The sequence below is a fragment of the Homo sapiens genome, chromosome 15, assembly GCF_000001405.40.
Source record: "Homo sapiens chromosome 15, GRCh38.p14 Primary Assembly".
In the NCBI taxonomy this organism is placed as follows: domain Eukaryota; kingdom Metazoa; phylum Chordata; class Mammalia; order Primates; family Hominidae; genus Homo; species Homo sapiens.
Window position 1 is genome coordinate 68815889 of NC_000015.10, and position 19751 is coordinate 68835639.

Here is a 19751-nt window from a genome sequence, read left to right on the forward strand (position 1 = left end):
ATGAGCATACTATGTCCCAGATACTAAAGACATGCCAGTTATGTTGAGTTTTTTTGGCTGCAGATGCAGACTGCCTGAGCAGCTCCTGCTTGTCTTCTCCTTACTCAAAATGTGTCCCCCAGCACCTTGAAGGCCAGATCCACTTCAACCTAACCCACTGTGATGTGCTAAAGCAAACTCAGTGCAAGGCTTCATAAAATGATAATCCACAGCCCCTGGTCCTGAACCTCCTGGCCCTCTAATATCTCCAACCAGGATGCTATCCACTCTTCATTTCAGCGTCTTCAATAATAGAAAACTCATTCTCTTTCTACGGTGGCACCACTCCAAAGCTGGAGAAGAAAAAGCTCTTCCTTACAGTATCTTAAGAAAAAAAGGGTGTTTCAAAGGAGGCAGTAGAGTGTAGAGGTTGAGTATGCAGACTGGCTGAGTTTGAATCCTGGTTCTGCCACTCACTGGTCACATGATAACCCCTGTATGCCTCAATTTCCATATGCACAATGACGATGATAATAATAATACCTACCTCATAGTGCTGTTGTGGGGACTAAATTAGTTGATACATGTAATCCACTTAAGAAATGTGCCAGACACAGCGTGGTTGCTATGTAAGCACTAGCTAATATTGTTATTATCCTAAACCATGGAGGAGCTCAAAGTAATGCCTGGAAGCACCCTGATATGTCTCCGAGACTAAAACTGTCATATAGACAGCATATACTGAGGGCCATATCAAACCAATTTTGTCATCATTTACTGATTAAATAGGATTATTCCGTTTTACAGGTGAAGAAACAAAGCTTCAAAAAGGTAGGTTAAGCTCACCAGCCCAAGGTCACAAGGGCAGGTAAACGTATCCTACCTCCTTGTGGCAGGAGGAATTCAAACCCAGGTCTGTGTAATTCCTAAGCCCATCTTCATCATGGAGCCCCTCAGACTCGAAACTACTATCAGCAGCAGAACTCAACTGACTATGACCACAGGGGAACTCAGGCTCAATTTTCTGCCTGCGAGTTCCTGGTTGGCTTGCATAAACTGTAGTTAATATCATGCTACTTGAACCCAATTAGGCAGTAAGTCAGCCTGGAAAACATCATGCGATGTATTCCAAAGGTCAAAGTAAAAGCTGGCTTCCAAGGCAGCCTCTGCTGGACACTGCCATGAAAGTTAGTTTCTGCACAGATACCAGAGTTCAGCTCGTGAGGTGCTTAACCAGCACCTATATCGGCTTTTTAAAATTCTCAGAGATGCCAGCATCGGAGGACCCGACGCGACGAATTGCCTGGCTCCTAAGTCAACATCCGGAGAAAGGCGGTTTACTTTTTTCAAAAGCAAACCTTCATCCCTCTCTTTCGCTTTAGGATCTCATTACTATTGTAGCTGCCTTCTCCCAGGCAAAAATAAAAGGGGGAAGGAGCAGGTTTAGACCGAGGAGGAGGGTTCCCCTAGCCTGCAGGGCGCTGCAACATCCACCTGAAACACGGAGCTCGACCTACCTTCCCGGAGAGCCCAGCCCGGGAGGGCGTTTCCCCAACGGATCGACAACTCTTCCCTCCCGGGGAACAGGCTGCTGTCCTTGGCTTCAGTCAGGGCCACTAGAGTCGCGTGCGCGACACCCCTCACCCCCGCCAAAAGAACCTCATGTTTAATGTTCCCCTTACTCTATCACTTCCGCCGAAAGAGCAAACACCAGAGCGATCGGTTAGTCCTTAAGGCCACATTTAACTACGTCTGAGCGCCTGCAGGAGGAACGGCGAAACCCCGGAGAGGAGGCGGGGGAGGCAGGGAGCGCGTGGGGGGGGGCATTTGCACAGAGGATCGTCGTCCTCCCGGCGCCGCGGCCGCCGTGACTCTCCAGCACAGCCTCAGGCCGTTGGCGCGGGGCGGAAACCCCCATCGGGGCTCATAGCACAACTGGGGGTCCCCAAAGCCGGCTCCCCCTGCCTCCTCCGCGCGGGAGGCCGTCGGGGTGATGGCGCAAGACTCCGCTCCCCCCGCCCCCCACAGCGACAACAGCCACGGTGACAAAATGGCAGCCCGGCGCCCGGCAGTCGTGCCACAGGCGCGCAGGGCCCTGGAGGCGGCTCCTGCCCCCCAGTAACGCCTCGGCGCCCTTCGGGCTCAGCCCCGAGTGGGCCTAGCCGTTAAAAAAAATAAATAAATAAAAATAAATAAATAAAACACCTGGAACTCAAAACCAGCCTAGAAAGCCACAAGGCCGGCCCCGCGCGTACTGCACCCCCGCCGCCCGCCTGCCAGCGCCCCGCGCCACATGGAGCCCGGAGCCCGCATTCCGAGCCCTGCGCCCCGCGCCGGGGAGGAGGGGCGGGGCGTGCGGCGCGAGCCCCGGGAAACATGGCTGCTCGTCCTATTTCGGCGTCGCGGCATGGCCACCAGCTCCCGGAGCCCAGTTGGGAGAGGTGCCGAAGGTGGGTGTGTGGGGGGCCCAGGGGCAGCGCGGCGGGGAGGGGCGCAGGGGGCGCGCTCCGGGAGCCATTTGTCTTAAGAACGTTTAAAAAAATACAGTTCCTCCTCCCCCAACCCTTTTGTCCCTCTTTCGCTAGCTTTCTCCCCCTCCCCCGCAAATGTGCAGAAAGTGCCCCCTCCTCCGCCACCCGCGCCCCACCCCGCCTCCAGGCAGGGGGCAGGCGTGTGGGCCGCGAGGCTGGGAGGCGAGGGGGCGAAGCGTGAGAAATCGCTCCCAGTACGGCGCGGTGCGCTCCCCTCCCCAACACACACACACACTCGTGGAAGTTTAAAGAGCCGGTTCGACCCGCTTTCCTGCTTGCTCCCGGGGGGCCGGCAGCGTCGGTCGGGTTCGCCAGGCCAGCCGCGCCCCCGCACCCACCCGCGGCGACCCCGGCCCCGCGCTTGGCGCCCTTCCCCCTCCGCGCAGGGGGCTTCCGGAAAGTACGCGGGAAGACCGCGGCCCCGGCCCCCTCCCCCATCACCACACCCAGCCCCCAAACGCTAGGCGCCGGGTCCCGGCCGGGACGAAAGCGGCCGGAGAGAGGCAAACCGCCCGCAAATAGTGCGCGGAAACTCCGGCCTCCACCGGCGGCGCCCCCTCCTCTCCCGCGGCCGCCCCCTCCCCGCCCTGCGCGCCATAAGGCACTCGCACGTCTCCAGTCCACAGCTGCGTTAAGGCGGGGAGGGGGTAGACAAAAAGGATCTTGTTTTCAAAAGTCTCACTCAGGTTTGGGGGAGGAACTAGGGAAAAGAGGAAGCGAGGCCTGCCTTCGCCGGGATTCGGGTTTAACGGGCTAGAGGGGCGACAGGCCAGCGCACGGTGCTGCCCAAACTCCCAACTCCATGGAGCTCGGGCCACCGAGACTGGGGGCGTCCTCCCGCCAGCGCGTCCCCGGTCCCCCCAAGGGGCCAAGAGGGGAGCTGGCCAGGGTCTCCGCCCCAGAGCCGCCAACTCGCCGAAAACACTCAGGTTTGAAAGCGAGAGGGAGGCAGAAATAAAAACCAGCGTTCGAGTCACCCACCCTCACCTTCCCCCTCCTCAGGGGTAAGCTTTCGCTCGAGCCTCGCGATTCCCACCCGTGTAAGTTTCCTCCGGCCGTGCTCCCGCCGCTGCCCAATCAATAACGGCGGCTAGCGGGCAAACTCCCATCCTAGAGCTGCGTGTTTGCCATGCCCGCATAAACGTGGACCCAGCCAGTACCCACCACGGGCGCCAGCTCCGGGCAGCTCGCGTCCTGACAAAGTTTCCCGTGCCCATTTATTAAGCAGGCGCCGAATGGCTGCCGACAAGCCCAGCACTGAGAAAGACGGGCCGGGGGTTCGAGCTGGGGGGCACCAGGGCCCAAAGGCTGGCATCTTGGGGAAGCCGGAAGGAGCTGGGGCGAGGGGGCACCGGGACGTAGCCTTTGGGCAACTTGCACCAGCGATCGCTGGAGGCAGGGAGACGCGGGGATTATCTGTGCCTTAGCACGTTCGAAAATCCCTCCCCCTCCTTCTAATTTATCCTCCCTTCGGAAGGAAAGGAAGAAACATCAGCATCTGGCCCGAAGGTGGGGTGGAAAGAGTGAGGGAGAAAGAGGAGGAGAGGAAGGGAGGCAGAGAAAGGGAGGGAGGGAGAGAAAGGGCGCGTTCACGAACACTACAAAGTTACAAATATGGCTCCCCCGTCTCTCGCCTCATCACTGCAAAGAAATGAAGACGCACTTTAAACTCCAGCCATTCCCAACTCCGCTGCAGCCCCCTCCCCACGCGCTCTCCCCGGGGGCCTCGGCCCACATTTATCAGAAACTAAACCGGACTCGCGAAGCCCCAAACTTATTGTGTGTGCGAGCGAGCGAGCGAGAGAAAGGGAGGGGGGAGGCGCGGGAGGGGGGCGGAAGGGGGGATACATTTATAAAATGTAAAACCCCCTTTTTTTGTTGTTAAATCCAGGAGGCAGCCCCTCTCCTCCTCCTCCCTCGTTAATCTTCCCCCCAGACGGAGTCACGGGAGCAGCGATCTCCGAGGGTGATTTCGCCTCATTCTCTCCGACCCAAACGCGTGCGCCCGCCGGCCCCCGATGGGTGCACACTCGCACGCACACTCTCGCACCCACACTCGCACACGCGGGAGCACACGCACAGGTAGTCACACACCAAGGGCAGCGGCGGCGGCAGCCGGAACATGCTCGGATGGCATTGCAACCCCCCAGCCTTGCCAATTCGCTTGCAGTCCGACCCCCAAACCCGCACCTCCCGGGCGCCCCCCCCCAAAAAAAGTGCCTCCCCCCAGCGCGCACACACACACACACACACAAAGTAGGAGAATGGACCGACAGAGATATTTTTGGCAAATGCTCACATCAGAGGGCGTCCTGTTCCGCAGCTCTAAATGAATCCGTCTGCCCATCTCCATCTCTCGCGCTCTCTCTCTGCAGAGGCTCCCGCGCCGGCGGAATTCAATCAATAAACCCCGAACCCACGGCCGCGCGTTTTAGGACTTTGAAGGCTCAACCAGCTCCGCTCGGTTCTCGAGCCCCCAGCACCCGCGGCGCACACTAACCTGATCGCCGTGGAGGCGGGATCTGCGGCCCCATGGACGAGCGGCAGCGGCCCGAGCCAATCGCCGCCGAGGGTCTCCGGGCAACAGCCAATGGCAGTGGCGGCGGGGGGGGGAAGGGACCAATGGGCGGGCTGCGCAGCCGGCCAGGGAGGCTCGGCCATTTGGTAGTGGTGCCGGAGACGGACCCCTTTAGATTTCGGGGCGGCTGAGGAGCGCGGCGGCTGCTCTGTGGCTGAGTGAGGGGGGTGGGCGGAATGGCGGGGGAAGGGAAGGTGACTGTGCCTCGAGGGCCGAGCCGCCCGGCCTTGCCAGCCAGCCGCCGCCTCAGCGTTCGGCCGGGGGCGGGGCCGCAGGTGCGTTCTGCGAGGGGGAGGGGCGCGGCCGGAGGGGTCGGGTCGGGGTCCCCGCCCGGCCGAGGGCTTCGCGGGGCGGCGCGACGGGGTTGCGGAAGGAGGCGGGCGGCTTGAGGTCCGGGGACCGCGGGCTGCCCAGCGGGAGGGCAGATGAAAGGCCTGGAAGGAGGAGAGGGGTCAGGGTGCAATGCCGGGAGGGGCTCGTCGGGTCCCGGGTCCGGCGGCTCGCGCTGGGGAGCGTGGCTGCCCCCGTCACCCCCACCGCGGCTGCCCAGCAGCCCGCGCGCCCCTTCCCCTCCGGCCTCGTCCCTGTCAGGCCGCCACCATCGCCACCCTCGTATACATAAGTCAGTAAAAGCAAGATGCTTCCACTTTTGGATGACTTACCGCGCGGTCGCGACCCTTCCCACGAAGAGGCTTTTCACTTTGCTGTCATATTAGGTCAGCTTGGAAGAAGTGATCACCAAGAGACACCCAAGATCTTGTTTAGGCAATAAATGAATGAAGACCATGGATTAAGAACCGTTGCTAGATATGTAGAATATTAAAAGGTGGAAAAGGAAGGTGCTCATAACTCCTGGTTTTCTGGACCAAACATAATTTCTGGGCTTTATAGACCTAGTGAAAGAGAACGGCGCACGGTTTATTCTAATCGTCCACCTGAGTCATTCGGTTCGGTTTGGGTTGCCAAGGAGGCTCTAACTGGAGCCCTTTCTCCTGGTTTTTCGGCGTGGTTGCCTTGGGTATTTTTGAATCACATTAAGTTTTAAGAGACCTTAAAGCCCCGATGCCCACTGGGTTACCGACTTACGGCACTAAGTTGGCTGCCTGTGGCTGTTAATAAACCACGGGGATTGTTGTCAACGAGGACAGATACATCCTTACCTTTCCACACGACTGTATTTTAGTGTTTGTTTCTACATGTCTGCACTCTTCCCCACACGCCTCAAGGTAGTTTTTCTGGATACATATGTTTATTTTTCAGGAACAGGAGTTCAAAGGAGAGATAAGCCAGTATGTATGTTGCAAAGTTAAAATACTGTTGCATAATAGCAATCCAGTTTCATTCTTAGACATACGAAGTTGAGGAGGAAATAAAAAGTGACAATGTAAATAAAACACATACAGAATGCTTACACTGGGGAAGAAGCTGTAGTAACTTTAATATTGCAACCTGATGGATTGCAAGTGTAAAGCCCTGCAACTAAGGATTTTACTCAGTAAATTCTTTCAGATAAAATGATAAATGGAATTTGAAGTCTGATGTTTACTCTGATTAGGTGGGAAATGCACCATAAAAGTTAGAAGTCATTGTTTTATTTTATCTGGGTATAAATAGTATAATTTATTTAACTTGTTGACTTGCCTGTCATCCTCAGATTTTGTTAATCTTATTGAAGCCTATTTGTATAGTTGGAATTTATTCTAAGTTTTATTGGCTTCTTTGTAATACATGAGGAACCCCAAATTTCCTATTTATGCCATTGAGACAGTTGTTATTTCTGGATATGGTGTTTAGGATTGTATTCAAACAGAACTCTTATCAAAACAGGTCAATATGGTGTGTATGATCTGTGTAACATAGGAGTCCTGAAGTTTGTGTTCTCTTTGATGGTAAATGTTCATTTTCAATTTAAAAGTTTAACCACAGTTAAGACCACGCTGCTAGCAATGCAATATGAGACAGTGTCTTTCCAGAGGAGTAATCCCTTAAAAACCAACCAATCAAATGCAGAGATATGCCCCATCCAGCTTTGCTAAATAGAAGCAAATAGCTCACTTTATTGTACAAAGACTCAAGAGGAAGACTTAGAAGCCCACCCCCTCCCCCATTAAAGAGAAAGTACAGAAACAAATTAGAATCGAAAAAATCATGGCCTGATTACTAAATCAAAACGTTAAATGTGACAGTTGTTTTTAGAAGCATCTTACATTTATACATTTTGATGACTTTTGTATTAATGTTAGAAAATTGAAAGAAGGCTTCACTGGATGTCAGTCGTTACAGAAATTGAAATATCCAAAAGTATATGTATAACCAATTGAGTAATTTCCGCTTTCCTTACACACTTGAAATAAATTTTCTTTTGCTTTTACAAATAGATCTATATGTAAGAAAATTTTCATATGATTTTGCTTTTTTATTATTAAAAAAGGAATATAGTAAAGCCAAAGCTGAGCTGTATTTGCCCCACACAACATGACCAAATATAAAAAAAACCACTGCTCTTACAAATATCTTATTTTACAAAGTTGTTTTTTAAATTACATTTTATTGTATATTATAATAGTAAATAAGTGTTCTAAGTGGCACTGCATTTCAGAAAATATAGAAAGAAATCCCATATCAAGGAATCTTGGCTGAATTTTGAAACGGAGTTGGGAACAGGTAAGAGTTCCTATCTACTGAGTAATTCTACAACAGGAATTGTGTTTGAAAGATGTAGAGTCTCTAACCTCTGAAACTAGGTTTGAGTCACACTGAGAAGAATAAATGAGATACAATTCAAAGTTTAACCCCCTAGAGAGATAGATGGCCCAGGAAGGAAAGATCTTCCCGCCTTCCAGAATATCCTCCATCAAGAACCATTCCAAATAAATGAGCAGCCTATTTTGTTCTCAAAGACATGAACAATGAGTGTCCTTAGGCTCTTTTGAAATGTGTAGGAGAGTACTGTTTTACAAATAACCATATCGTTACTATTGCCATTTTATTAGGTTGGTGCAAAAGTAATTACCATTTTTTTTAAAAAAGGCAAAACCACAATTACTTTTGCACCAATAGCACATTTGCCCTTGTTTGGTCTCTAAAGATGGAGACCCTTTGGTTAGCATCCTTTTTATGAGTCAAGCTAATATACCCACAGCTCAACTTTTTGTTCTTGAGCTTGAATCACATCACTGGCAATCGGCCGTAGTACTCTCTTACCTACATCATGGTTCTGCTGCTTGGACCCCAAAGACAATGACATGGAAAAACTCCAGCTTAATTATGTTCTTTTTTGTTTGTATATGTAAATAGTTTTTAGGAATGTAGATTATTATTTTGAAATCTGTGGTAACAAATGTGAAAACCACTACATTTTATTTATTTTCATTGAATAGCAAATAATGTTGAAGCCTGGGATCTAAAAAGTTAAATATTATTTTATTTTGCTTAATAAAGTATTGGATAATTTAGAAAAAGAATTTTTTTTTAATGATTGGATAGTTACCTTATTAATGGATTGGTCAGGGAGAAAAAGCCCTGTTGGATGAAAACTGTCATATATGTGACTTTTAAAGTGAAATTAATAAGCCAGGCATGGTGATGTTCCCCTGTAGGCCCAGCTACTTGGGAGGCTGAAGTGAAAGGATCACTTGAGCCCAAGAGTTCAAGAACAGCTCGGACAACATAGCAAGACCTGTTTCTCTAAAAACAAAAAACAGTAAAAATCTTAAAAACCGCTTAAAGATGGTTGGTTTCTTTTAAAAAGGAAAAAAAGGCTCAGGTGCAGTGGCTCACGCCTGTAATCCCAACACTTTGGGAAGCTGCAGGCAGATAGCTTGAGCTCAGGAGTTCGAGACCAGCCTGGGCAACATGGTGAAACCCCATCTTTACCAAAAATGAAAAAAAAAAAAAAAAATTAGCCTGGCATGGTGGCGTGCACCTGTGGTCCCAGCTACAATAGAGGCTGAGGTGGGAGGATCCCTTGAGCCCGGGAGGTGGAGATTGCAGTGAGTAGAGATCACGCCTCGGCACTCCAGCCTGGGCAACATAGCCAGATACTGTCTCATTAAAAAAAAAAAAAAAAAGGCCGGGCGCGGTGGCTCATGCCTGTAATCCCAGCACTTTGGGAGGCCGAGGTGGGCGGATCACGTGGTCAGGAGATGGAGACCATCCTGGCTAACACGGTGAAACCCCGTCTCTATTAAAAATACAAAAAATTAGCCGGGTGAGGTGGCGCACGCCTGTAGTCCCAGCTACTCGGGAGGCTGAGGCAGGAGAATGGCGTGAACCCGGAAGGCGGAGCTTGCAGTGAGCAGAGATCACTCCATTGCACTCCAGCCTGGGCGACAGAACGAGACTCCGTCTCAAAAAAAAAAAAAAAAAAAAGCCAGGTATGGTGGCTCACGCCTGTAATCCCAGCACTTTGGGAGGCCAAGGCGGGTGGATCACCTGAAGTCAGGAGTTCGAGACCAGCCTGGCCAACATGGTGAAATGCCATCTCTACTAAAAATACAAAAAAAAAAAAAAAAAAAAAAAGCCGGGCTTCGTGGCACGTGCCTATAATCCCAGCTACTCGGGAGGCAGAGGCGGGAGACTTACTTGAACCCGGGAGGCAGAGGTTGCCATGTGCCAAAATCGCACCATTGCACTCCAGCCTGGGCAACAAGAGTGAAACTCCATCTCAAAAAAAAAAAAAAAAAAATCACTTGCACACTTGTTTGGAAGTCTCTAGAAATTTTGTGAATCGGTTTCTTAAATATATTTATTAAAGACAGTTTTGAAGTAGCAATGAGGGAAGTTTGTTTACCATTCATCAGGAAGAAAACCAGAGCTGTAAGCTCTTACTTTTAGTATTAAAATATGGCTGTGAAGGAAAAAAATAAATGCCTTAAAGACAAATAATGGAATGAGGAGCTATAGAACAAAGTGACATAAGGCAATTTTGGTTGAAAAATAGAAATGCAATTAATTTAGATTCCACTAATTTGTTTTAATCCATCTAGAGTTGAGGTTTACCTCTATGAAGAAAAGAATACTAAAATCTATTAAGATATGAGGTAGAGATCAGACTTTTTAAGAACTTTTAATGTTTTTACCATTTGCAAATGGCATTTATAACTTTCGTATACATAGTAAAATTATGTATACAATAATTAAATCCTCTTAGATTCTCTGCTTTGTAATGGCAATTATTATTTGTACCTCTAAGTAATGATCTATTTGTAAAAAATTTTCTACAGCGCCTCTTGAATTAGAGATCAATTTAATGCATTCTGAGAAATTAGTAAATTTTTAACGTATTTCTAGTTGAAATATTGGGTTCTTTCAGGCAAGTATATGTATACCCTAAACTTTCTTTGGAAGTTCTGGATCCTAGCAACTATAATATAAAAACTTTGAATTCATTTGTACATGACGAAATGAGATAGCCACGATAGGTGTTAGAGGACTTTTACCCAGTGGAGGAACATGTTTTACTCTGCTGCATTGGTCTTTTTTTTTTTTTTTTCCTTTCTTTTTGAGACAGGGTCTCACTGCCACCCAGGCTGGAGTGCAGTGATGCGATCATGGCTCACTGCAGCCTTGACCTCTTGGGCTCAAGCAGTCCTCCTGCCTCAGCCTCCCAAGTAACTGGGGCCACAGGCATGCACCACCACACCTGGCTAATTTTTAAATTTTTATAGAGATGAGGTCTCACCATGTTGGCCAGGCTAGTCTCAAGCTCCTGGGCTCAAGCGATCCTCCTGCCTGGGCCTTCCAAAGTGCTGGGATTACAGATATGAGCCGTGGTGCCCAGCCTTGCATTGGTCTTATAACTCAATAATGTACGTGAAATTATTGTATATGCCTTCTTGTATATGAGAATTACCACTTCTACATATATATTGGAGGGCAAGTCAAGTAAGTGTGACAAACATTTTTCACTAGGCTAGGCCAACTCATGTCTGTGTTCATGTTGAGAAGTAATTCTATAGATAAGGCAGAAGAGCAGACAAACTCAGGATACAAGTGTGCAAAGATGTATAACAGACATGTTGATCATTGTATCATAGCATTTTTATAATAGCGAAAGAAAGAAAAGAAAGGGGAAGAGGGAAAATGAAAAAGAAAAAAACAGAAAAGATTCATATGCCCAGGAAAAAAGTCTGGGAGAGTATGTACCAAAAAATGTTTAAAAACTTTGATTACAATGGTTTTGCATGGGTGATGATGTCATAGTGGTTTTTGATTTTGAGGTCTTTTATTTGTCTATATTTAAAAAGTTTTCCATTGATAATTTTTGCAATGAAACAGGTATTTTAATGGAAATTATAGGTGTAGATGATATGTGGAATGTTTATGCTAGTCAGAATTTTTGGTGAAGATAACAGAAATTTACCTTGACCAACACAAGAAAAAGGCAATTTTTATAAGTCTGTCACAGAACCAAAGAACAAGGTCCAGGAAAGAAGAAGCCAGGGAAGCTGGCAATTTGGAGCACAGCCAAGATGGTCCCTGCCCTAGGTAAAGTCTTCAGAGGACCTCACACCTCAGAAGTCATCTCTGCTATGGGCTGTGAATCCCACCATACCTACAATGATCTCAGCATCCTGCCTTTTTGTGTCACTCCCTCGAGGTTCAAAGCCCTTGGCAAGAACATTTGCAGATGCCCCAGCTGTCAGAGAGAAAAGATTATCTTCCTCCTTTAGCTTCCACAGTGGGATGTGTGACCCTGCCTCCTGCCTATTTTAGGACTCTGCCTAAACTAAGTGTTCTGGTGCTAGGTGACCAAAACCAAAAATCCACGAACATGTTCTAACAAAATAATGCTGTGAAGGTTTCCTGATGATCCATGTTACTCCCATAGTATCTCCCCTCTTCCTCCCTACTACTTACCAGCAAGAGACCGTACCACCTATTTAGGATCAATGTAAAGCAGAGCTAATATCTGAAATCCCAGTTTCTTTTCAAATGCTTCCCTTTCCAAATTTGAAGCCAGAAGAAACAATGTATCACTGCTGATGTCAATAAGACTTCCTTGGCTGGGCACCGTGGCTCACACCTGTAATCCCAGCACTTTTTGAGACCGAGGTGGGCAGATCAGTTGAGGTCAGGAGTTCAAGACCAGCCTGGCCAACATGGTGAAACCCCAACTCTACTAAAAATACAAAAGTTAGCTCAGTGTGGGGGCACACGCCTGTAATCCCATCTACTTGGGAGGCTGAGGCAGGAGGATCGCTTGAACCTGGGAAGTGGAGGTTGCAACTAGCCAAGATGGTGCCACTGCACTCCAGCCTGGGTGACAGAGTTAGACTCCGTCTCAAAAAAAAAAAAAAAAAAAAAAAAAAAAAAAAAAAAAAAAAAAGACTCTACCGCAGCAAAACTGGTGATAATCTTAAAATTTGGAAAGGAAATGTCCCTAGTAAAGATATTTGATTTAAATTACAAGGAATTTAGTTCTAAGGGATAATCGACATATTTCATAAATAAATGCAGATATCTCTAGATATCAAATGATAAAAGATCTTGAGCAGTGATGGATTACTGCTAATGGGTTTCTGTCTGCTACTCTGAGCACAGTTCAGGCTCAAGAACTGACATGAAGGGTTTGAGAATTTAGTCAAAATCTGGAAGTAGGCAGGTGGTCACAGGCTAACTAAGAGTTCATAACCGGATGCAGTCGTTGAAGGACAATTGTGAAGAAAAAATGCTGATGGTGAAACGAATGCAAAAACCACAAACACATTGAAGAGGCCTATGTTCCTGGGAACAAAGAGGAAGGTTATCAATGATGTGCTTGTAGAAAACATATTAATACTGGAATATTGTCTTCTTTCCCATCATTTCAGGTCAGTTAGCTTAGATTACTATTCAGCTAGAAAAAACAAATGATACCCTTGCAAGGACTCTGAACAATATTGGAATTCAGCTGTTTTGTTTCTAATAAAACATGGTTTAACTGTTACATGAATAGAAGTTCCTTATAAGTGCCAATTACTTCTTTCCAGAGAAGCAGTGCTAAAGATTCTGTTCATTGGTACACTAAGTGTTCTTCATGACCCAGTGTTTTATTTCCTATAAGTTAGCTTTTTTTCTCAGATGATTTAATGAAAATTATGGCAGTCTGCTCATTGTTCAGCAAAATCCATTTCCTCTTCTCCTTGAACACAAAGCTTGACTATGTTTCCTAGATGGCCCTTGCAGTTAGTTGGGGCCATGTGACTGGGTTCTAGCTTGTTGATTATAAGTGGAAGTGATGCTGCCACTTAAAGGCTTGAAAGTGCCACTGCATACTGACTGAGATGCAGTGGAAGCCCTGTGTTTATGAGGTGGACCCCCTCTCAGGCTGAAATGTCTCTTAAGAGTCATTTCAGCAACCTATTTACTTGCCCACCAAGAGAGAAATTGTGACTAAGAAACTTTTATGGGGCTGTGCCATTATATGCTTGTATCCATTTGTTACTGTAGCCTATGCTAGTAACTAACACAATAATAAAGGTTTTTTTCAGTCTTAGTTTTCTATTCATTTGTAGACCAATTGTAAATGTGAATATTGTATTTCCATTGTATCTTGGCTTACATGTTCAAAGCACCATAAAACAGATAAAAGGATTATATTAACAAGTACTTAATGTAGAAAAGATCAGTGCAAGGGAGTCTATGGAATAACATGCAAATATGTCTCTTTCCCCCAAACTTAGTGCTTGGCTCATAGTAAGTATAAAATAAATGCCTGTTGTTTCATCAATAAGTAGTCCTCCCCTCTCAAGCTGCAGACTGACATTTTAATTGCTCATTGGACATTTCCAAACAGGTATCTTACAGGAACAAACCACATGACATTTCCAAAACGAATCTCTTCCTTGCCAGCCTCTGCCTACTCTGCCTCCACCAAACTACCTTTATCCTTCTGGCTCTCCTGTTTTGATTAATGGTACCCTTGGAATTGTCCTCTGTTGACTCCCATAACCAAATGGTTAACTCGTCCTCTAAATTTCCAACTACCTTTCCTCCTATCAGCCCCACTTTTTCACCACTCTATCCAAGCAAGCTCGCCCCACCCTTTCTCATGTCTAAATTGGCACCGTGTGCTAAGAGTTCCCAGGCTTTGGGTTTTCTCACCAATAACATTTAAAAAAAGGGTTTAGGACCAACATAGAATTCCCAACTTTTAATTTTGCCAGATAAAGACATTCTTTAAAAAACTTATCTTTTATTGTTCTATAGACTATTTTTAAAATGGCAATGTAGGGAGGACTCAGCTTTAGAATATAGGACACTCCTCTACATTGAATTTAATTTTATGAGAATTCACTACCTTGTTCAAGATTGAGTAGTTGGAAACTCTTGTCTAGATCAGCACTGGCCCTGAGGTCTTGATGTGGTTTTGTGGCCAGATGAATGTTTCTGAGTTCCAGTTCCAGTGCTCCTCCGGTCAACAACAGCCTCTCTGGTTCCCTGTGGCCTGCTTTCCCCCACCTGGCATTAAAACTCCCCAAAGAAGGCCTCATACTACCTTCCAGTGTTATCTCTAATTTCCAGGCAAATTAGACCTTCTGTTATTCCTTTTTCTTTTCTATCTTTGACTATGCAGTTCTTGCACCTGTACAGTCTATCCTTTTTTCCCCACCACGCAAAATTCTACCCAAAATTTAAGACCACATTTGATATCATTGCCTCCTTTGAAACCTTTGATGATCCATTTTACCCACACAAACAAGAGCTTTCCTCTCCTTGAACTTGCATAACATGGTAAAGTATAGCACGTGGCTGCTTTCTTCCACATGCTGTGCTTATTTACCTCTCCCACAAAATTACAATAAATCCTTAAAGATAAGAAAAATGTTTGATTCATTTTTATTACCCCTCCATTATTTGAACATTAAATGTTGAATATATATTTAATGACTTAATGAATACTTTAGACATAGTGAACTCCAGACTTTAAAAAGTATCTTTGAAACATTTAAATAACTTTAATCTTCAATGTCAAGTAAATAACAGTAGGGTATTGGGGAAACAGATTGCTAAGTAACTTCTTTATTCTTTCCAAAATGAGGGAAACAAAACTAAATTCCAGTTTCCATGATCATAACACAGAAGCTTTTCTACTATAAACATTGTATTTTAGGCTCCTACCCAGGAATTGTCTTTTATTTTAGGTGGCTAACCAGGAATTGAATTGTCTTAAAAGACAATGTGTAGGAGAAATAGCAATTACAGATCTTCCTAACTCTGATCTAATTTTGTGTACAAGCCATTTTTAGTGAAGGTACTTGGGCACAGCTTTTATTCCTTTAGATTTTGTATTCATCAAAAAGCGAGAAAAAATGGGGTGACAAAACTCATCTATTTCCCTCTTATTTCACTTTTGAAGGAAATCAGAGCACTTGTACTTCCATGTTCTGTCTTTGACCTAAGAAATATTTATTTCTATAGTGTTCTATTAGGAAAATCAATATTGGCCGAGCACCATGGCTCACACCTGTAGTCCCAGCACTTGGCTGAGGCAGGCAGATCACCTGAGGTCAGGAGTTCAAGACCAGCCTGGCCAACATGGTGAAACACTGTCTCGACTAAAAATATAAAAATTAGCTAGGCATGGTGGTGCACACCTGTAATCCCAGCTACTCGGGAGGCTGAGGCAGGAGAATCGCTTGAACCCTGGAGTTGGAGGTTGCAGTGAGCTGAGATCACACCACTGCACTCCAGCCTGGGCGACAAGAGCCAAATGTCTCAAAAAAAATAATATGTAAATTTTAAAGTTTTATTCCACTTATATGAATAATAGAAAAGTCCACAAAGATTAGGTCAAATATATTCTATCTTGTTATTAATCGTTTTTGGGTTTTTTTGTTTTTTGTTTTTTTGAGACGGAGTTTTGCTCTTGTCGCCCAGGCTGGAGTGCAATGGCACGATCTCGGCTCATTGCAACCTCCGCCTCCTGGGTTCAAGCGATTCTCCTGCCTCAGCCTCCTGAGTAGCTGGGATTACAGGTGCCCGCCACCACACCTGGCTAATTTTTGTATTTTTTAGTAGAGATGGGGTTTTGCCATGTTGGCCAGGCTGGTCTCAAACTCCTGACCTCAGGTGATCCACCTGCCTTGGCCTCCCAAAGTGCTAGAATTAGAGACGTGAGCCACCACGCCCGGCCATTTTTTTGCATTTTTTAGTAGAGACGGAGTTTCACCATGTTGGTCAGGCTGGTCTCGAACTTTTAACCTCAGATGATCCACCCACCTTGGCCTCCCAAAATGCTGAGATTACCAGTGTGAGCCACCATGCCCAGCTGTTATTAAGTGTTTTATGGAAGGTATGAAAATAAAAGACAGAACCCTATAAAAATATAGAACTTTTCTTGGCTCTTAGCACTGGCCAGGAAAATACAATTTGTAATCTGAATTTTAGAGCATGTGGTAAGAGGCTTTTTATGTGTAGCTGTGCACTACAACTAGAGATGGGAAAAACATAATGGTTTTTTAAATTTATTCCTTTTAAAAAATAAATTTCTTAACATCCAGTTCTAGTCACGATTGAGTAGCTGGTACTGGACTCACCTTTCTGATGTAAACAACAATAGAAGCTAGACACATTACGTGAAATGACAACATGCGTCACTGGATTATTATCCTTCAGAAAAGGGAAGCACGTGGCCAACCTCACATTCATCCCAGCACAGAGAGATGGAGCCCAAAGAGAGAGCGGCAGTGTCTCTGGGCAGAAGAAACAAAGATCGGAGCTCAGGCCTTCTAACACAGCTGGGTTTGGAGGGCAAGGTCACTTAGAGGCAGGAGCTACAGAAAAGGAGCCCTCAAAAATTGCATTAAAATTTCCCTCAGCTATTCAGCCCACTGTTAAGATCTGTATTTGCAGGGCAAGACTTCAGAATGTCTAGCAGATAATAGTTTTTGGGAGGCTGAGAGCTGAACAGTGATTTCAGAGGCTGCACAATAATGTGGATATGCAAGAGGTTAGGCTCATTCTAATGTAGAATGTGTAAACCTTCGTGGATGTCTAGGTATTCATGGAGACTCTAGAAAGCCCACATCCTAGGATTATGGACCATGAATGACCAGTGTTACACAGTAGGAGTGAGGGCTACATTTATTTATTTATTATTTATCTATTTTTTAAATGTAATACTGTTTATTTAACTTCAAAAACATTTCAACATTCTAAGCAAAAAATAACAAAACAGCAAATTGTGTTTAAGTACAGAAGGTTCTTGAACTTTCATTGATACAGTGGCTCTTCGCTTTGCTGACAATGAAGAGTTCTACAGTTTGTTTAAAAACAAACAGTTGAAAAACTACCCCACTTAATTAAAACAAAACAAAACGAAACAAGAAAACTTCTCATGCCAGCTGATCCCCCATTGTCCACGGCTAAGATGGCAGCAGAATGCTGTCATTATATACAGAAACAAGACAACCTGAAGCTAAATGGATGCCACTGCAGAGTCAACAGGCCCAGCCTCACAGTGCAGGTTCTGAGCTATCGCCCCTCCAAAAGGCATCTTCTCCACAGCCTCGATGCCAAGCAAGGAGCATCCGAGTTCGTCTCGTTTGTTTTGTTCTTTTTACAAATATATATATATATATACACACACACACACACACAATTGATAACTTAGAATTTCTAGCCAATAACCATATAGTTAATACCACCTTACCAAAAAAAAAAAAAAAAAAACAGAAACATCTTTAGATGCCTTGTCACACACCAATAGCAAAGTGCACAGAGGGAGGAGAACACGAGAGTGCCTTTTCATTTTGAAAATGTTTGTGTGGGGTCGACGGCTGAGGAGAAGCTGGGAGCGAGCCCAGGCGGCAGTTTTTAGGTCCATCAGCACTGCACTGCAGGAATGGCAGATTTTGGGATCTCTGCTGGCCAGTTTGTGGCAGTGGTCTGGGATAAGTCATCCCCAGTGCAGGCTCTGAAAGATCTGGTGGATAAGCTTCAAGTGTTAACTGGCAATGAGGGCCGCGTGTCTGTGGAAAACAACCAGCTGTTGCAGTCTGCCCACAAATAATCCAGCTTTGACATTATTTTGTTGGGTTTAGTCCTGGGAAGCACCACTCTACTGAGTGCTGAGATTTTGGCTGAAATTGCCCGGATCCTTCGGCCTAGTGGATGTCTTTTTCTGAAAGAACCAGTAGATCCAGCTGTAGATAACAACAGCAAAGCGAAGACAGCAAGCTGTGTTCAGCCCTGACTGCTTCCGGTCTTGTGGAAGTGAAAGAGCTGCCATGGGAGCCCTTAAGCCCTGAGGAGGTACAGTCTGTTCAAGAACACCTGGGTCATGAAAGTGACAGCCTGCTCTTTGTTCAGATCACAAGCAAAAAAAAAAAAACAAAAAACAACTTTGAAGTGAGTTCTTCTAGTCAGCTTAAGCTTTCCATCACCAAGAAGTCATCTCCTTCAGTGAAGCCTGCTGGGTACCCTGCTGCTGCCAAGCTGTGGACCCTCTCAGCCAATGATATGGAGGATGACAGCATGGATCTCATTGACTCAGAGGAGCTGCTGGATCCAGAAGATTTGAAGAAGCCAGATCCGACTTCCCTGCAGGCTGCTCCTTGTGGGGAAGGGAAAAAGAGGAAGACCTGCCAGAGCTGCACCCGTGGCCTTGCCGAAGAACTGGAAAAAGAGAAGTCAAGGGAGCAGATGAGCTCCCAACCCAAGTCAGCTTGTGGAAACTGCTATCTGGGCAATAGTTTCCACTGTGCCAGCTGCCCCTACCTTGGGATACCAGCCTTCAAACCTGGGGAAAAGGTGCTTCTGAGCAATAGCAGTCTTTACCATGCCTAGGAGGGACCCGACATGGGACACATCTGCTCCTTTGGCCAACTCCTGTTCCTCAAATCCCACCACGGTGCTCCTCCCACCTCCTCTGGATTTCTTCTCTCTGAGATCCATTTGCAAAGTGGGTGCTTAGCAGACAGATTGAAGCTGGCTGGGGGGGGCACAGTGGTGTGTAGTGTATATCAAAAGACCAAGGTATTATGGGGCCCCATTACCCAGAATGGGATGGGTTTCTTCACCTCATGTTAAGAGAAGGGAGTATGTCCTGAAGAAGCCCTTCTCCTCATGTTAAAATGCTGACCAAAACACTCTTGAGCCCAGGCATCCTTGAGCATCAACACTCTGTGACAAAGCTCCAGGCCCTGGCCCCTAGTCTAATCTCAGCAATGCTGCCAGCTACTTGTCTTTCAGAGTTGTTAGTTTACTCCATACTTCGTGACACGGTCAAGTGTCTCATGACCTCAGGGTACCAGAGGAGTCATTCACTGGTTGGCGTGATGATATCCAGTGTCCCTCTGCCCCCTTCTACCCCCAGCCCCATTTTACTGTAGCATTGCATCTGTGTCCTGTTGCCATTTCTGTTAACCTTCAGGTATTAAACTTGCTGCATATCTTGAAAATAAATAAAATAAAAATGTTTGGAAATATGTACAAATTTGATACAGTTTCAGGGTTCTCTGGACACCCATGGCCACTTCATGTAAACCACTGACAATTTCTAGAGCACTTTGAGAGGCTACAATATGATCATGATCAAATTTTATAATTCTCAGATAAAAGATGTGTCAATTATGTCATATGAGGGCTAAATTTAAATAGACACTTGCTGCTAGAACAAGATTCAACATTCAGAAGAATATAATCTAGAGCCCATCCACTGTATTAATCACTATATA

At 46.1% G+C, this 19751-nt stretch overlaps 1 protein-coding gene and 1 pseudogene across 1 annotated transcript in view, besides 14 other annotated features; one reads left to right on the forward strand and one right to left on the reverse strand.

The window, feature by feature from the left end:
• Positions 1-5007, reverse strand: part of ANP32A (acidic nuclear phosphoprotein 32 family member A) — a 42361-nt gene extending 37354 nt beyond the window's left edge. Inside the window, exon 1 of the mRNA NM_006305.4 lies at positions 4810-5007. Coding sequence (NP_006296.1) covers positions 4810-4863 — 54 coding nt within the window. The 5' untranslated portion in view covers positions 4864-5007. The remainder of the gene's footprint in view (positions 1-4809) is intronic.
• Positions 873-922: an enhancer, noted in NCBI's record as "active region_9651". NCBI's record gives its function as "activates an Ori minimal core promoter by ATAC-STARR-seq in GM12878 lymphoblastoid cells {active_cell/tissue: GM12878}" and the evidence as "EXISTENCE:reporter gene assay evidence [ECO:0000049][PMID:35858748]".
• Positions 1377-1959: an enhancer, noted in NCBI's record as "H3K27ac hESC enhancer chr15:69109604-69110186 (GRCh37/hg19 assembly coordinates)". NCBI's record gives its function as "activates a minimal SCP1, AML or CMV promoter by ChIP-STARR-seq in naive H9 embryonic stem cells {active_cell/tissue: H9 hESC(naive)}" and the evidence as "EXISTENCE:reporter gene assay evidence [ECO:0000049][PMID:30033119]".
• Positions 1377-2028: a biological region, named in NCBI's record as "H3K27ac hESC enhancer GRCh37_chr15:69109604-69110186".
• Positions 1709-2028: a silencer, noted in NCBI's record as "silent region_6589". NCBI's record gives its function as "represses an Ori minimal core promoter by ATAC-STARR-seq in GM12878 lymphoblastoid cells {active_cell/tissue: GM12878}" and the evidence as "EXISTENCE:reporter gene assay evidence [ECO:0000049][PMID:35858748]".
• Positions 2239-2798: a silencer, noted in NCBI's record as "silent region_6590". NCBI's record gives its function as "represses an Ori minimal core promoter by ATAC-STARR-seq in GM12878 lymphoblastoid cells {active_cell/tissue: GM12878}" and the evidence as "EXISTENCE:reporter gene assay evidence [ECO:0000049][PMID:35858748]".
• Positions 2849-3088: a silencer, noted in NCBI's record as "silent region_6591". NCBI's record gives its function as "represses an Ori minimal core promoter by ATAC-STARR-seq in GM12878 lymphoblastoid cells {active_cell/tissue: GM12878}" and the evidence as "EXISTENCE:reporter gene assay evidence [ECO:0000049][PMID:35858748]".
• Positions 3124-3705: an enhancer, noted in NCBI's record as "NANOG-H3K27ac-H3K4me1 hESC enhancer chr15:69111351-69111932 (GRCh37/hg19 assembly coordinates)". NCBI's record gives its function as "activates a minimal SCP1, AML or CMV promoter by ChIP-STARR-seq in primed H9 embryonic stem cells {active_cell/tissue: H9 hESC(primed)}" and the evidence as "EXISTENCE:reporter gene assay evidence [ECO:0000049][PMID:30033119]".
• Positions 3349-3458: a silencer, noted in NCBI's record as "silent region_6592". NCBI's record gives its function as "represses an Ori minimal core promoter by ATAC-STARR-seq in GM12878 lymphoblastoid cells {active_cell/tissue: GM12878}" and the evidence as "EXISTENCE:reporter gene assay evidence [ECO:0000049][PMID:35858748]".
• Positions 3706-4287: an enhancer, noted in NCBI's record as "NANOG-H3K27ac-H3K4me1 hESC enhancer chr15:69111933-69112514 (GRCh37/hg19 assembly coordinates)". NCBI's record gives its function as "activates a minimal SCP1, AML or CMV promoter by ChIP-STARR-seq in primed H9 embryonic stem cells {active_cell/tissue: H9 hESC(primed)}" and the evidence as "EXISTENCE:reporter gene assay evidence [ECO:0000049][PMID:30033119]".
• Positions 4959-5208: a silencer, noted in NCBI's record as "silent region_6593". NCBI's record gives its function as "represses an Ori minimal core promoter by ATAC-STARR-seq in GM12878 lymphoblastoid cells {active_cell/tissue: GM12878}" and the evidence as "EXISTENCE:reporter gene assay evidence [ECO:0000049][PMID:35858748]".
• Positions 5259-5418: a silencer, noted in NCBI's record as "silent region_6594". NCBI's record gives its function as "represses an Ori minimal core promoter by ATAC-STARR-seq in GM12878 lymphoblastoid cells {active_cell/tissue: GM12878}" and the evidence as "EXISTENCE:reporter gene assay evidence [ECO:0000049][PMID:35858748]".
• Positions 5489-5548: a silencer, noted in NCBI's record as "silent region_6595". NCBI's record gives its function as "represses an Ori minimal core promoter by ATAC-STARR-seq in GM12878 lymphoblastoid cells {active_cell/tissue: GM12878}" and the evidence as "EXISTENCE:reporter gene assay evidence [ECO:0000049][PMID:35858748]".
• Positions 7569-8369: an enhancer, noted in NCBI's record as "OCT4-NANOG hESC enhancer chr15:69115796-69116596 (GRCh37/hg19 assembly coordinates)". NCBI's record gives its function as "activates a minimal SCP1, AML or CMV promoter by ChIP-STARR-seq in naive H9 embryonic stem cells {active_cell/tissue: H9 hESC(naive)}" and the evidence as "EXISTENCE:reporter gene assay evidence [ECO:0000049][PMID:30033119]".
• Positions 13197-13246: an enhancer, noted in NCBI's record as "active region_9652". NCBI's record gives its function as "activates an Ori minimal core promoter by ATAC-STARR-seq in GM12878 lymphoblastoid cells {active_cell/tissue: GM12878}" and the evidence as "EXISTENCE:reporter gene assay evidence [ECO:0000049][PMID:35858748]".
• LOC390600 (cytokine induced apoptosis inhibitor 1 pseudogene) lies at positions 17845-19472 on the forward strand (annotated as a pseudogene).